Genomic DNA, 16112 nt, shown 5'->3' on the forward strand with positions numbered 1-16112 from the left:
TTTTAAAACTATTTGTCAAAACTCAAAACACATTCAAAACCTAATCTTGGAACTAAAATACAAACAGGATCTCAGTGACTTTTGGCTTTGTCGTTGACATTAGTTGGTATGCAGCTTTCAAAGCTCTACAATACCACTCCTTTATTCCCTCAAATTTGTAAGCTTTAGCCAGTCCAGAAAAACTACCTTTACAATTTAGAGTCATATGAATTTAACTCAAATAGGATGGTATAATCCACTGAACCTTCTACCAGGAACTAGTGATGTGTTTGTTTATCTCTTTTAAATATAAATCTTGTAAAATATACATCTCAAAAATCAGCTAATTGAAGAAAATACATATTTTGAATTCACATACTTCTTTTGAGAAATATTTAAATAATGCAAAACCTAACAAATCACCAAATTCAAAAGGACCTTGTTATATCATGCAAACAATCTACAAAAGATACAAATTATATTCCCATATGAATTTCAATACCTGTGAACTGAAATTTGCTCCTATATCTACATATAAAGAAGTAGAAGAAATTGCACAATTAAGTCCAGAAAGACTGCAATTATTATGGAAAGAATGGTGGTATTTTTGTTAACCTCTTTATCTAAAAGAGCTATCTGATGGCCGGGCATGGTGGCTCACGCCTGTAATCCCAGCACTTTGGGATACCGAGGCGGGCAGATCACCTGAGGTCGGGAGTTCGAGACCAGCCTAACCAACATGGAGAAACTCCATCTCTACTAAAAATACAAAATTAGCTGGGTGTGCTGGCACATGCCTGTAATCCCAGCTACTAGGGATGCTGAGGCAGGAGAATCACTTGAACCTCGGAGGCAGAGGTTGCGGTAAGCCGAGATCGCACAGGCAACAAGAACGAAACTCCATCTCCAAAAAAAAAATAAAAAAGCTATCTGCACTGGTCAAATTTGTTGGAAAATATATCAACAACCCACTTCTCCTTGTGCAAGAGATAACTATTCTTAGCATCTTTTTAAAAATTTTAGTGAGTTATAAAAATATGTTCAATGCTATAATAAGTTCAACAATATTAGCATCAGCATCAAAGCTAATGTATGGTCAAGACCAAACATAGGTATTTTTTTTTAATATTTATGAAAACAGGCCAGGCGCAGTGGCTCACACCTGTAATCCCAGCACTTTGGGAGGCCAAAGCGGGAGGTTCGCTTGAGCCCAGGAGTTCAAGACCAGTCCAGGCAACAAAGTGAGACCCCGTCTCTACAAAAAATTAAAAAATTAACTGGGCATAATGGCGCATGCCTGTGGTCCCAGCTCCATATGAGACTGAGGCGGAAGGATCACTTGAGCCCAAGAGGTCAAGGCTGCAGTGAGCTGTGTTGACACCACTGCACTCCAGCTCAGGCAACAGAGACCCTGTCTCAAAAAAAAAACAAAACAAATTTTATAATTATATTTATACACATACATATTTATGAAAACATGTTTTGCCTTTATTCTTAGTGTAGTTCCTAACTTTAAAACAGACTTTGTTAGCTGAGTTTTCGAAATATGAATGTGCTTTTTGCTCAATTAAACAACATAAAGGTCACTTTTCAGAAAACAATGTTATTTGCAAGGAGATAACTAAATTGACACATTTAATTTAAACAAAATATTTTGAAGTATTAAGAAAAACTCTAAGATTTTTTTTAAGTACTGATTTAAAGTTAGCAAACATGGCTGGGTGTTATAGCTCACACCTGTAATCCCAGCACTTTGGGAGGCCAAGGTGGGAGAATCGCTTCTGGCCAGGAGTATAAGGCCAGCCTGGGCAACATAATGAAACCCATCTCTACAAAAAAAAAAAAAAAAGAAAAGAAAAGAAAAGAAAAGAAAATAATAAGATAAAGTTAGCAAATGCCATATTCTATTTATTTAAGATACATACTAAATAATACTATAATTTAGGCTGTCCCCAAATTACAATTCCTATCTCCCAGGCTTCCTAGGCTGGAGTGCAGTGGCGCAATCTCAGCTCACTGCAGCCTTGACCTCCCCGGCTCAAGTGATCCTCCCACCTCAGCCTCCCAAGGAGATGGGTCCACAGGCACATGCCACCAAGCTGGGCTAATTATTGTATTCTTTTTGTAGAGATAGGGTTTCACCATGTTGCCCAGGCTAGTCTCGAACTCCTGAGCTCAAGCGATCCATCCACCTCAGCCTCCAAAAGTGCTGGGATTACAGGCGTGAGCCACCATACCCAGCCTCAATTCCAAGCATTTTTTCAAAAAGTGAACAGCAAGGAAAAATTAAATATATTTTCTTTTTATCTTAAAGTCCCAATATAGTAATATTAATAAAAATCACATGAATACATTATATTAAGAAAATATAATCCGTTAAATTATTAGCAAAAGACCATATCAATTATTATGGATAGTAATTGGGGCAGGGAGTATGCCTTTATCTACTCCACATGCCTTAAGCATGATAAAAACTCAATAAATATGTGTTGAATATCTATACTTCGAGAACAATAAGCACAATGGTCACATAATTCTCCTAAGAATCAAATACAGAAAAATCTTAAAGAACTGGGCATTCAAAACAGGACATGAACAAATTTTTACATCATGCAAATCTAACATTGGTAAGAGAAAATTCTACCCCTTGTATCCACGAATTGTAAGTCACAGCTACAAATTATGTACTGGCTGTGTCAATGGAAAATATATAGCCAATGCTGGTTTTGAAATAATCTCAACTTGGTCTAAAGTGAAGTCATTAAGAACTGAGTAGAAATGGTGTATATATTTAAGCCCCTATAATTCTGGGATTATATATGGGCAAGAAAGTAAATTTACCACATTCTGTGTTATTTTTGTTAACACCACACCACATCTCTATGGAGAGCTATAATAAATAAGAAAGTGAGGTAACATATATGAACTACACAATGACTATATATTCTTGTGTTTCACTAGGGTCTCTGGTTTTAGCATTGCTGGTTTAGTGGTTAAGTCTCAATATTCTTACCGCCATTCATCCTGGTTAATATTGTGGTCACGGAGAAAACAGGTTCATCATGGGCTAGTTTCATTTATCCACACCTTTTCTCTTGAGTTTCATCTACCTGCTGGAGAAACACAGGGAAATTTAATCAGTGTAAAAAATTCCTTATATTACAGATATTTGCTGGAATTTTCTATTAGACAAAGAGTTGCTTTTTGAAATATTCTCACACACACCCTAAAGAAGCTTTCCCAGACAGAAATGAAAGAAAGTATATTTAGTAAGTGTGAGCAAATAAAGCAATGCCTAAATAAAAGGTGTACTGAATACTGGTATCTCAATCACATTAGATCTCTCTTCCCCAACTTAATATACCACGGAAATTTTCCTATTAGAAGCTGACGAACATGTAAGATAATTTGACCTAAAATACAGACAAATAAATGTGTTACCTGGTCTGCTTATTAAAACACAACTACCAGGCCGGGTGCAGTGGCTCATGCCTGTAATCCCAGCACTTTGGGAAGCTGAGGTGGGCGGATCACGAGGTCAGGAGTTTGACACCAGCCTGGCTAAGACGGTGAAACCCCATCTCTACTAACAATACAAAAAATTAGCCTGGCGTAGTGGCTGGCGCCTGTAGTTCCAGCTACCCGGGAGGCTGAGAAAAGAGAAAGGCGTGAACCCAGGAGGTGGAGCTTACAATGAGTGGAGATCACGCCACTGTACTCCAGCCTGGGTGACAGAGCCAGACTCCGTCTCAAAAAAAAAAAAAAAAAAAAAAAAAAAAAAAAAAAAAAAAAAAAAAAAACACACAACTACCTGGAGAATACTTACAGCACAGACAAAGCTACTATTAGCAGCGTCACCCACCCTAAAGAAAATGGTTACTATTATAAGTTCCCAAGTATGCATTTGTAGAAGGAAGCAGTAGTTTATTAAACCAACTTTTTGATCTTGAAGCAACAGATTTGGGAAAAGATGGTTTTACAATAAAATATATAACTCCAACCTCCAGTTACATTGCTATTTTTTCATAGGACAGACATGGCACTGTGTGAATATTATGACTCAAGCTTAGTCATCTCAACTAAGAATGAATTAAATTCGTTAGAGTAAAAACCTGAAAGGGAAAGTACATGCATGTAATTCTAAGTTGCTATTTTTAGAATGGGGTTTTTCTCCAAAGAGATTTTAAAAATGTATTTCCACATTATTTGTGCTATTTTCACTTTAGTACTCTGGCATATTGGCTACTGAATAGAAACAAGAAACAAGCCCATTTTCCAACAGAAGGTCATTTATGATTTGAACATAGTATAAACTACATAAAAAAGGAAAAGTAATTTATTAAAGACCTGCTTGCTAAAACACTGAATTTCAGAGACATATACATGTAAAAAGACGCTTGTGTTTATGCCCATCCTATTTTCCTGGTATTTAAAGAGATCAAAAAATTAACTGTAGAGTAAGAAGCCTATTGAAAACCTCATTATATCTAAACTACTTTATTATATTTATTACATTATATCTAAATGACTTTCCAGGAAAGTCCAGAAAATACAGAAGAGCTTCACAGGTTCTGCAGGACACACAGTATTGTAACCCTATAAGCAGCTTCCAGGCTAATAGGGCTTCAGTGGTTTTTCCCTACAGAAAAGATAGTCCGAGAAAAAAATCTGTTTCTCTATTCTCTCTCCTCACTCCTTCTTAAGAATAATCAGAAAAAAAATGACAGGCAATGTGGAGTGAGGAAAAGACAACCTTAATGGAAGTCAGGAAAACTGAGTTTTATTCCCTGCCCTGTGACTTATTATATAGTCTTAGGCAAGTTACTTAGCCTTTCTTGGCCTCTGTCTTTTGTTTGTTTCATTTTGTTTCATATGGAACACAAGAAGCACTGAAAAAAATGTTTTAATTACACCTAGAAAGACAGCAGAGACCATAGAGGCCTACCCCCAACTTCACAGGTGAGGACACTAAAACAGAGAAACATGCCCAGTCATAGGTGATAAGATTAAAAGACTTCTAACAACAGTCACAGCTCCAACATTTAAAAAAGTATTTATTTAAAAAGTATTTATTTAAATTTATTTACATCAAATTTTTAGAACATGTAAAAAAAAGTAACTAAGTAGCAAAAAGGATAACTGCCAAATTTAGGATAATTATCTTTTCAAGAAGCCATAAAGAAATATATTCTGGAAGGCTTCAATTGTACTGTTAATATTTTATTTCTCGAACTGGGTTTGGGGTATATGGATGCTTATTTTTCTTCATATACCATTTTGTATGAAATACTTTCTAGTCTTTTTTTATGTAATCACCAAAACATCTTTAATCAAAAGGTAAAATAAATGAAAACACTTCTCTGGAACTTTAAAGGTCAATGAAAATAGTTGTGTATGGTTTCAAATATTCTCCTGCTGAGTTTAAAAGGTAAATATCACTGTGTCCCCCAACATAAGAAAAAAAAAGCGTAATGTGCTAAAATATATATATATATAACTATTTCTAATCTAACTTAGTAAAATATAAAAGTACTACACAAATAGCACAAAACACAAAATAAATTTTATTACTAATAGCATGATAAACCCATTTAAGACTATTGAGAGACATACTTAACAATCTGTACTTTAAATACATTCAAGAGTCACATCTAGTAGCCTAGTGTTTCATCGTCAGATTGGCTGGTTGTTTTTATTGAAACAAATAAGAACTGCAATAATTTACCTAAAGTAAGCAAAGGCCTATCTAAATATCTACATAGAACCTATGTGTAAAAACTAAGTGCCTCCAAAATATCTGAAATTTTCCAACAAGAAAGTACAGGTCATTCAGCAAAATATATTTACTGTATACTACCATAATAGCTATTTAATTGTTATCATTATGATGTAGATATATAATGGAAACAGATGTTCCTTTTTCCTTTCAGCAAAGCAAAGGGAAAGTATAAACTTGCTGATATTGCATAGACTACTACCATAGCACAATAGAGGAAAAAAGACATTAGCACATGACAATATTAGTTTTTACTACACAACTAATTGCATAAAAAGTATAACTTGAGATCATTAAATCAATATAATTTTCAGCACTACAGAAGAGAAACAAATAGATGTGTATAACCAGCCTATTTCACATCTGCAGTTGGGAAAATACTTCTGACAGATTAAATATATGCAAAACGCTACCACTGCTTTCAGAACACAAGAAAAAGAGTGTTGTTCTGTTTTCTTTGCTCATGTAACATGAATTAGAATGCTGCCTCTACAGAGGAATTTTTTTTAAGTACCAGTATAAATTGGTAGAACCTTTCTGGAAAACAATTGGGCAATCAATATCAAGAACCTTAAAAAACAGTCTATATTCTCAGTCTAAGTAATTTCTCTTTTAATAACATATTGTAAGGAAATAACCATAGGGATGGCTAAAGATTTATTTAAAATGCTATTCATTACAACTTAGTTTATACAAATGAAAATTAAACATCTGAGTTGTCTAATAGAGCAATAATTAAAGTAGATATGTTAAAACATTATAGAGTCAATATAAATGACTTTAATAATTTTAATCATATTACATTAAATGCTTAGAAGAATAAAGTTTAGAGAAAACCTTATTATACAAAATGGCATTTCTAATTTTTGTAAATTCTGTCTTATGGGCATATACTACTTTTATCAGAAAAAGTTATTTTTTCTTTAAACAGTTCTATTTCTATCATCTGATATTCTCAGTCCAAAGTTTCTAAAATTCTTTGGGCAAAAGAGTCCTATAAATATTTACAGGTAAATTGACTTAAAGTTATGTTGATATGTTATTTGATCCTGAAATCTGGCACAGAAAAAGAAGTATTTGTCAATCACATAGACAACACCTTTTTTTTTCCTGGGTTAAACGGAATCCTTACAAATTAGGGAAAATTTTTATGGAACAAACATTACAAATGCTTCCTTAAGATCTATTAATATGATATGTAGTATGTTGCTAATTCAAGGAAATTTTCAATTACAAATATTTGTAAAGCAAATGAAGTAGCCTATTGATTGCTGTTTCAGTATGCCAGTAAAAAAGTTTGCCATAGCTTTCCTAGGACTCTTAGTTTCCTGATTTTATTTTTACAAGAAGAAGCTGATTTGTCTTAGGCTATTACTGTCTATTACTTGTAGAAGTCTTGAGCAAAGGTGGGAAGCAGCAAATTCTGGCAATCTGCCTAAAGAGAAATCAATGAAACAAATTAATCCTTTGCAGGCTGCAATGACACAGTAATCCATCATTCAGAGCTGTTTTTATATACCAAATCAGAGAGCAGAGGAAAAGAGCCCTGGGGGATATCACAGGCAACAACTTACACCAACACTGAGAAAATACTGAGGAATCAGTTTATTTAAAGAGGATAGATTTCAGTTGATTGCCTATTTCGTCAAATAAAGATTTTTCTTCCACAGTGTGGTGAACCCAAGGGCCAGTGACTGTATCTTCAGAATTCAGTACCATCTATGCTGGCTGACACCAATAGGAGATGAACGTTTTTAAATAATTAGCATCATTAATCAGTATGGTCAAATATCTGGGTAAAATAAATATTACTTTGTCCATCCAACTACAAAGTGTTATACATGGTCCTTGTTTTCACCAGAAACTAAGTGTAAATTTACCTACTAATCTACAACTTAACTGACTAATTCCTGGTACACCATATTTGAGGTACTTCTTCACACATAAAATGTAACCATTTAAGATATATGTTACTTCCTAATGCTGTGTTAAGTTTAAAGACTTAAAATTTTTAATTCAAGCTCTTGTGTAAATTCCAGCAAGCAAGTCAGATTATAAATAAATGACTTATTTTAAAATGATAAATAATAATTTTGCTCATAATGTAGTTGACAGTGTTGGAAGATAAATGTGGTTTTCTTTTACAAATAAACATAATAAATGTACAGCAGTATATTCAAACTAAGTATATTTATTTATACTTTTACAAAAGCCTATGTATTTAAATTTATTTGTGCTTCTGTAGAAAGTTATGCACCTTACTATGTCTTACTAGAGTAATGCATTCTAAGTAGAAGTATATTTCCTTGATGAAAACTAATGGCAAGAACTACAAAGTCACAGTGCATTACTACTCTAAATGCATGCATCATATTCATGGTTAAATGTGAGAAGTCAGTAAAAGAAAAGAATTTTCAAGATTATAAACCAAAGAAAACTTGACACGAGTCCCTGAAATGGTAAAACCCCAGAATACCTAGTCACAAATCCAAAACAGAAAAAGATTAAATAAATGCTAACTACTCAATTTTTGAGTGGCATGTTCGAGTCTGAGGTCCGTGGCCATATGATCACAATTCCTGGCTATGCTGATGCATTTTTAATTCAATGCATGGATCTAGTATTTATTGATTTAATAAGGTTAGAAGAATTACATTGTTGCTGCTACTGATGAACTGTCAGCAATTTAATCCAGTGAAATCTTACACAGAAATGTTTATTTTAGGGGAGAACGAGAGGAACAACAGCCATGTAAATAAATTTAATTCCTTTACTACCCTTGACAGTGACAAGAGCAAAACCCTTCTTTTCTAGACTGCTTTGGGCCCCAAACATTTTCTTTGATTAAAGATGTACCAGCTGATTGAGCTTATGGTGAAAAAGTTGCAGGATAGCCTTGTAGGTACACCTTAAAAATTAGGAAAAGCAATGACTTTCTCCCAGTATCCACTCTAGTCTCTCCTCATAGGTTTGAGGTACACACGCACCCACACACCTCAACCCTTACCTTGTCACCTAACAAGGTTTCAACGAGCCTGTCAGCGATTTCCTCTCTCTGGACCCTAAAATTTCCCACAGCATCATTAGTACACAGGAAGACAGAAGAGAAGGGAGAAAATAGAAAATTAACCTTCTTAAAAGCAATTCGGCCAAGAGAGGCTTTAAGGGCTATGTCAAAGTAAGGAGGTATTACAAGATCCAGAATCAGAAAGCGGGTTTAAAAAAATCCACAAAAGTTGCTGAAACAAACACTTGGGGACTATTAGAAAGCTTTTTGCACTGCTGCACTACCCTGCTCCTGGGCTTATCTCCCCAACCTGGACACCTGGGAAGCATGCTGTGCTTCAGCGTTTCCCTGACTTTGAAGAAATGGAGCGCTGGTGGTGCTGCTGCGGAGGTCAGTAAAACTATGCTAATTGGTGAACCTAATTGCTTCAAGCAGTCCTGCCTCTAAACATGGAGAGAGTACAGTTGATGGAGTCAGTCTGTTCCTGATAAAATGAAGAACCACTGAATTAAATTCCCAAGGAAGGCACTATAAAAGTTTCCACAGTGTAACCAAATGACTTCACCTATGTTATTACCTCTAAGATGACATCTTTGAAAGAAAGCAGACCCCAGTCGGGCTCCATATTCATAAATTGGCTGAGCTTAGGCCAGTGAATCTGGATTTATTTAAAAAGGTTTTTTCATCTTTCCAATCAAATGAAGTCATTTTTAATTAGATGCTTTCTGTTAACAATGTCACTCTTCTCCACATTACCTGCTCACACTTGCAGCGCCTCTAGTGCAACATCTGGAGCACGAGTCCTCTGCAAGCAGTCCTCCCAACAGATTGGCTGGAGGATGGTAGTATTTCCGTTTCTCAGTCCCTGTCTGAAGGAAGATCCCATTCAGCGGGCTGATGGCGCGGGACATATCAACTCTCTAAACTGAGAGATTACAAAACAATCTCTAGAAAAACTCTTAAGATAACAGTCTCCCAATATCCTTTTTATGAACTACATAGCACTTTCTCCGCTGTTCCCGCCTTGCAGATGGGTGTTTTAAAAAGTGCCAAGGGCCACAAAAGGAAACTCCCACTGACTCTACAGCTTTTTGAAACCCAGTTCCTCCTTAAAACAGAAAATCAGGTGTGAGGGTCCCCAACTGTGCCCCAGGCCTTGCTTCCTACCCCTACCAGCAGCCCACCACCTGAAGAGGACTGGCTGTCCAAGGCAGGGCAAATCGTTAGGCACCCCAGGAGGATGGCAAGGTTCAGCGCTTTAGCCAGCGGCGGGGGAGGAAAGAGGCTAAATGGGGAAGTTGTAAAAGCGGCTTCGTTCGACGGTGGATCTCTGAACCTTAAAAGATTGGCGGGGACCCACTCACACTCCCTGGGGACCATTACTAAGAGGTCTGCTGTGCCGACCCGAGGGGGCGCCAACTGCCCGCGCGGAACCGGGCCGTGGGCCTGGGGTTCGGGAAGCGTGCGCCACCCCCGGTCGGGCCTGGCTTCCTTCTTGAATGCCCCCGGCGCAGGCCCGGTGCTTTGTCCCTCCGGCCTTCTCAAGGAGTGGTGGCCTTCTGCGGGGGCGAGAGCACGGCCTCTAGCCTTCCGCCGACGTCTCAGTGCGCAGATACCGCGGCCCGGGCCCCTCCGCCGCGCGGGGGACCGCACTAGCGTCGACCTCCCGGCAGCCAACCCCGCGCGCAAGGCTCCGCGGCCGGATATGGGCCTAGCTTCCGGGATCCGCTCCCTGCGGGGCCGCGCTTAGGGTCGGAGTTCGCTAGTCCAGGGAAAGGGGTGGGAGGGGCCCTCGGAGGGGCCCCTACAAGGGATCCCAGTCCGCAGAATTAAAAATTCGTTCGCAAGGGAGCGCCCTTCCGGGGTCAGGGTCGTGAAGAGACACTCGAGAATTAGGGTCCTGGACTGCAGTGGGGCCGGGCCTGGACTTCGGGCAGGTGTTTCCTGGCCGCCCTGGGGCCCTGCAGCACCGAGGGCCGCGCTGATCTCAGGGCTCAGGCGGACGAGGGGCCGCCACAGGCACCTTAGGACCCTGGCGGCCTGAAGGCCTGGGGCCTTCAGGAAAGCCTCGGGCACTCCCAGCGGGGGACCTAGCGCCAGGTCACGATTCCATTCGGGGCGGGGAGCTTCTAAGCAGGAGTTGCTGACCAAGGAAAGAGTCTGGACCCGGGACCTCATCCCTGAGGACCAGACCACGACCTTGGAGCTCAGCTCTCAGTCCTTCCCGGCTAGGGATGCGGAGGGGTCGGGAGCTCGACGGCTAAGCGGCAGGGAATCCTGAGTTCCTAGAGATCTACAGAAAGCAGAAGAACGACACTAGATGAGACTAGACAGTGACGGCGGAAGGACGGAACCACATGGAGACTGACACACTTTGCGAGTTGGGACTCAATTGCATTTCTTTAAGTCCTTGATTCCGAAGTTTCCCCGCCCTCCTATGCAAGAGCGTTTGGGGAAACTAAGTTCCTTAGACTCTTTCATCCTTGTTATGTGAGCTCAGGGAGGAAGGCAGACAATAGCTGCAGCCTAAACACCTGCTATCTCTCAATGCAATAAGATATAGACGGTGATTGGAGTCGTTTCTCTTTTTGCTTCCAGAGGGAGCTCAAACCTGAAGCATCAAGGTTATCTTTTTCCAAAGGTAAAACAAGAGACTTGCAAAACCTGCTAGGGACACCACAGCTCACATCTGGAGGGGGTTCCCCTTTGCAAACGGAAAAGGCAATATGATTTTTTTTTTCATTTTAGGATTTGTGTGAACCTAAGTTCGGTACCTGCGACGAGTAAAAACACTTATTTGACCCTCTAGAGACTCAGCTAGAACTGACTGAGCAAAGGGAAATCGGGCAAAAGAAAGGGAAGGTACTGAGGAGAAAACGGTAAGCGGAGGTCTGGGGTGGGATAGTGCGCAGGGGTTCCTCTGACCGGGCGGCGGGACCCAGCTGCCGCGCAGGTAAATCCCAATACGCCTGGCACTGGGGTTCTGGACAGACTTGGTCTAAATACAGCCACGTGCTCGGGGCTGCTGTGCTCCAGCTGTGCGTTTCGGAGCGGTTTGCGCGCACGCGCACGTACACACACTCACACGGGCGCGTGCCTCTGTCCTGGCGCTGGGGCCTGAGGTTGTCCAAGCAGCGGAACCCCCCTGTTCCCGCCGGCCACTTGATGATGTCGCTCAAACTAGATACGGGGTCTCTCTAGTCAAGGAGGGCGGGCAGACAGAGGCGCCCGGCTTGTGGGTATCCAGCCCCACGTAGGGGAAGGGCTCATAGAGGGGCAGAGCCCAGGGAGAAGCGACATGCCCCCGGCTCCGTGCTCCTCTTCGCCTATCGGCCGGGTCACCTGTCAGCCGGTGCTCTCTCGGCTGGCTCCCCGTCCCTCCTCGCTCCCCGCAGCCACGCAACAACGCGCTGTCAGCCCGAGCTGGGCGCCTTGGCCTCTTTCTGGTGCCCCAGCCCTGCGAGCCAGGGCTCACCCCACACTGACGCTTCCAGGTACAAACACCACCAGCGCCGTTATTCCAGACTCCAGATCCCTGCCTTTTCCCCCCACCGAGCAAAGACAGGCCGGTGTTTGGGGGTGGTTGTTGTTCTTTTAAAAGTATATTAAAGGATCATTGGCGTCTCCCTGTCAAGTCATTACGCCTTTATCCCCATCAATTAACCACACCTCAGAGGGCTGCTATTAAGAGCTCAAATGAGCTGCAAAAGTAGGTATCCCGTTTCAGGCAGATGTTGTTATCTCCCGCTGAGAGGCGCGGCCGGCGGGGCCGGATCCTCCGCTTCCCGCGACTGCCGGAGTCGCGCTGGACTAGGCTGACCGCGCAGGGCGGCGAGGCTGGAAGGGAGGTCTCCGCCCGACAATGCGCAGGTGCCAGAGGAGCCAGGAGGAGTGAGAAGCGCCCTAGACCCGCGGCCTCAAGCGCCATGCACGTCAAGGGGAAGTGACTCCGGAGTTGTGCCAGGAAGAACACCAAGAACGAGCTGTGCGTTTTTGCGCAGAGAAGTAGTCTTCGCAAGACCGCAGCTCCCTGCCGAAGGCCCAGAAAGGGAGTGCGGGGGAGAGGGCAAACTAGTGAGTTTGGCTGGCAGTGCTCCCCCGACACACCCCACTTTCTTTTCCTGCCACTCCAGACTCCTTCCCGGCAGCGGGCCTCCAGAACCCCTTGTTGGTAAAGGCGAGGTGCTGTGGGGATGCAGGATATGGAATTAGGGAATTCGGGACGGAAACGTAGCGTTTAGGACAAAGGGGATTCACTGGGGACTTCCGCGGCCTTTGCCCAGATGCGCCTTTCCACCCTTTCTCACTCCAGTCACTCCCGAGGACTTGGGGCACGACTATCACACGCAACTGGGAGATCCTGGAAGACGGAGGAAAAACGAACAAGGGGACATGGCCCTCACTGCAGTGACAGGGCTTTCCTTCAGTCAGTGGCCACAATAAATTTAACCAAGGCTAAAGGAGATTAATTTCCCAGCATAATCCAATTAAAAGATTTCTAAAGTAATCTTTTGCGAAAATGAAAAGTGCGCGACTAAAGAGGGGACTGGTTTTGATGACAGTGATTTATCGCCTCAGCACAGCACGCACGGGACGCTGTCTCTCCAAGCGATTTGACCAGAGCATCCCGTCCTCGCCTCCTGTCCAAACCTTCCTCTTCCTGAAAGACAGCCATCTATCACGCCAACCTGGGCAGGAGAGAATGTGCAAGGGGCTGGGGCGGCTTACAAGCACCACAGACCTTTTTAAGTGCTATTAGATTTATGGTCTCTTTTTCGACACCCATCCAGAGTAATTAGCACATATGTTCTAAATAGATGATAGTTTTGTGAGCAATAAAGCAATTACCCATCGTTGGAGCTGACAGTTCCTCCAACTAAACTCCAACCAGCAGCTAATTGGAAAAGTCATTTCAGCTCCATTGTCTGCAATTAGTCCTGCTAAACTACTACACCCCAACTAGCTGGTTTGAGTTTAATTTATTCAATGTTGTGTTTGCATGGACAAGCCTTTGCCACGAAGGGACTTGCCTTTTGCCCCTCTAGACTGCGCCCAGGGACTAGAAGAGCAAGTGGGAGTGAGCAGCCGATATCTGGGGGCTGGGATGGCCCCCGGGGGAGGAGGCACCCGACTGGGCCTCAGCTTCAAGGTTAGTTGTCCAGCGGCTGAAAGCCTGCAGAGAAAACCATTGTTTCTCCTGCTAGACAGTAACCGGAGAAAACTGCTCAGTTCATGCTACCAAAACCTTTATTTAAAAAATTAGAAATTGTCACCACAGAGAAAGCGACTGGGTTCTCAACTCACCCCTTGTTCACACATCCAGTCATGACCCTGGGCCACCACATCATCCCTAAGGAATAAACATAGAGTCAGACCGCCAAAACAGAAAAGTTCTGAGCCCTGGGGGAGTGGGGGACAGGTTTCAACTCTGGGAGTGATTCGTGGAAAGAAAAGAAAAGAAAGGTCAGGAAGCCCAGCCTCTGCCTTAGCCACTCTGAGTTTAAAGCCACTTTCCCCTTAAAAGTGGGGTTTCTCTGTGACTTTGTTTGATTTTTTTCCCCTTCCTTTCTTATATTTTTTTTCTTCCTTTCTTTCTAAAAGTTAAGCCCAACAGGTCCAGGATTTGTGCACAGTGAGTGGAAAAAATGTGTTAAACGTCGGTTTGACGCCCCACCGGAGCTTCCAAATATCCAGCGGCTGGGATTCTTCTACTTAATTTAATCTTTATTGGACAGGGCGGCTCCTATGCTCCTATTCACTAGGAAACCCGGGGAAACATATCCGTTGGGGTTCAGAATTGAGGGTGGGAAGGAGAGGAGTTAAAGAGGGATTAATCCTCCCCCACCCAACTTCAAACTTTAGAACTGCAATCGCCTGCAGCCTGGGGGGGTGTCCCCCAAGTCCCAGCCCTGACAGCCCAGGGTCTCTGCGATCTGGAGCCAGAGGAAGAGAGGTTGGCAGGTTGAGATGGGAACTTGTATCCCTAGTAACCAAGTATTCCCTTGATGGAATTTTACATTAAAGTGTCCCAAGCTCTGGGAGCAATGAGAATTTTACTTAGAAGAACATGGGGTGGGGGGAGCATCCTCCTCTTAGGAGGTAAAGCCCAGTGCTTTCAGTCCTAGAAATCCAATGTCCTTTTCTGGATTATCATTCATATTAAATGTCCTGGGAGATGTTTTTCTTTTTGAAGTAAATACTATAACAATGCCTGGAAGACAACTTGGACATTTTAACCAGCATGTGAGACTTCCTAAGATAATTCCTATTTCAAATAAATTATGATAAATTGCTCAGCTTCAAGAATTTGGAGACGTGTCTATAGCATGTAAAACTTTTAAACTGCCTAATGTCAGGCTCTTATTTTCCACTATTTATTGTATTTTAACCAATTTAACTCCAAGCAAAAAGAAAAAATTGTGGGGAGAAATTGAAAGTAAAGGTCTTGTCTTGCCCCATTACCTCCCACCTGTCACACAATCTCCTCCCCCTGAAGAGAAATCCTCCTGTCACTGTGACTTCCAGTTGAAAACAGAAAGGAAATAAGATGACTTCTGGAAAAAGCTGTCCATTGTGTTCTTAATTGTTTGCTTTTTTTTTTCAGTACTTAAATATGCCCAGAGAGTGAGGGCATGAAAAAGCTAAATGAAGAGTCAGCTGAAAGTATCACCTAGACTGCTTGTTAGAGAATTCTAAGGTAGACGTGTGTGCATACTTATGCATGAGGGTAAAATAACCTACCTAATCATCGCCCCCCATGTATGGGAAATATTGACATATATATCCATGAACTGAAAAATCTTTAAGTACATGTGTGCAGAGATTCAGTTCTATGAAAGCTCAGCTAGCTGTCCGCATGCATGTATTCACTTCTGGAGTAAAGGCATTTTTGTTGCTCCCATAGTTTCTTTCCATTAAGAGCGATTAGATGATGTCTATTCAAAGTTGCTGATCCAGAGAGAAAATAAGAGTAGATAAAAGGAGATTTCAAGTGACCTCCTCATCCCTTTCACACCAACCTGAGCCCTAGAATAGCCAAGGATCAACTAACACAAAAGCCCTTTCCTTTCTCTTTTCAGCTTCAGAAGACTTTATGCAGGGGGGTAACAATAAAACATAGAACGATCCCCGAGTTTTGTTAGATCATGCATTCAGAATACTTTATTAACTCCCCCCAAAGATGGGCTAGGTTTATTTTCCACCTTTGAAATGGGTAAATAAAATATATATAGCATAACAAAGGGCATAATTGTTTACTGTTCTATTGCTTATATCAGTGGTGTCCTATGCTTGTGCTTTTTTTTTTTTTTCATTTAAACTTTAGCTAAACCTCCTCTCTCCTCAACGATG

General features: G+C 41.6%; 2 long non-coding RNA genes across 57 annotated transcripts in view, besides 1 other annotated feature; one reads left to right on the forward strand and one right to left on the reverse strand.

Annotated features, from left to right (window-relative positions):
- NR2F1-AS1 (NR2F1 regulatory antisense RNA 1) overlaps positions 1 to 16112 on the reverse strand; it is a 176234-nt gene that overhangs the window by 151016 nt on the left and 9106 nt on the right. For 29 of the 54 annotated variants that reach the window (NR_186217.1, NR_186215.1, NR_186218.1 and 26 more), the window contains exon 2: positions 2993 to 3092. This is a non-coding gene — a long non-coding RNA (NR2F1 regulatory antisense RNA 1). Of the gene's footprint in view, positions 1 to 2992; positions 3093 to 3420; positions 3648 to 9518; positions 10455 to 14066; positions 14113 to 16112 lie in introns of those variants that run through there. The other 25 variants (NR_186222.1, NR_186213.1, NR_186192.1 and 22 more) reach the window with 7 other exon arrangements.
- Positions 10312 to 10391: a silencer, noted in NCBI's record as "silent region_16175". NCBI's record gives its function as "represses an Ori minimal core promoter by ATAC-STARR-seq in GM12878 lymphoblastoid cells {active_cell/tissue: GM12878}" and the evidence as "EXISTENCE:reporter gene assay evidence [ECO:0000049][PMID:35858748]".
- LOC124901026 (uncharacterized) lies at positions 11311 to 14446 on the forward strand. 3 transcript variants are annotated; one of them, XR_007058872.1, is made up of 4 exons: positions 11311 to 11403; positions 11511 to 11641; positions 13808 to 13911; positions 14364 to 14378. It is a non-coding gene; the product is annotated as an uncharacterized LOC124901026 (long non-coding RNA). The 3 variants fall into 3 exon arrangements; XR_007058871.1 differs by lacking the exon at positions 13808 to 13911 and having other exon boundaries at positions 14364 to 14446; XR_007058870.1 differs by lacking the exons at positions 13808 to 13911; positions 14364 to 14378 and adding an exon at positions 12490 to 13269.

The sequence above is a fragment of the Homo sapiens genome, chromosome 5 (assembly GCF_000001405.40).
Source record: "Homo sapiens chromosome 5, GRCh38.p14 Primary Assembly".
Taxonomy (NCBI): Eukaryota; Metazoa; Chordata; class Mammalia; order Primates; family Hominidae; genus Homo; species Homo sapiens.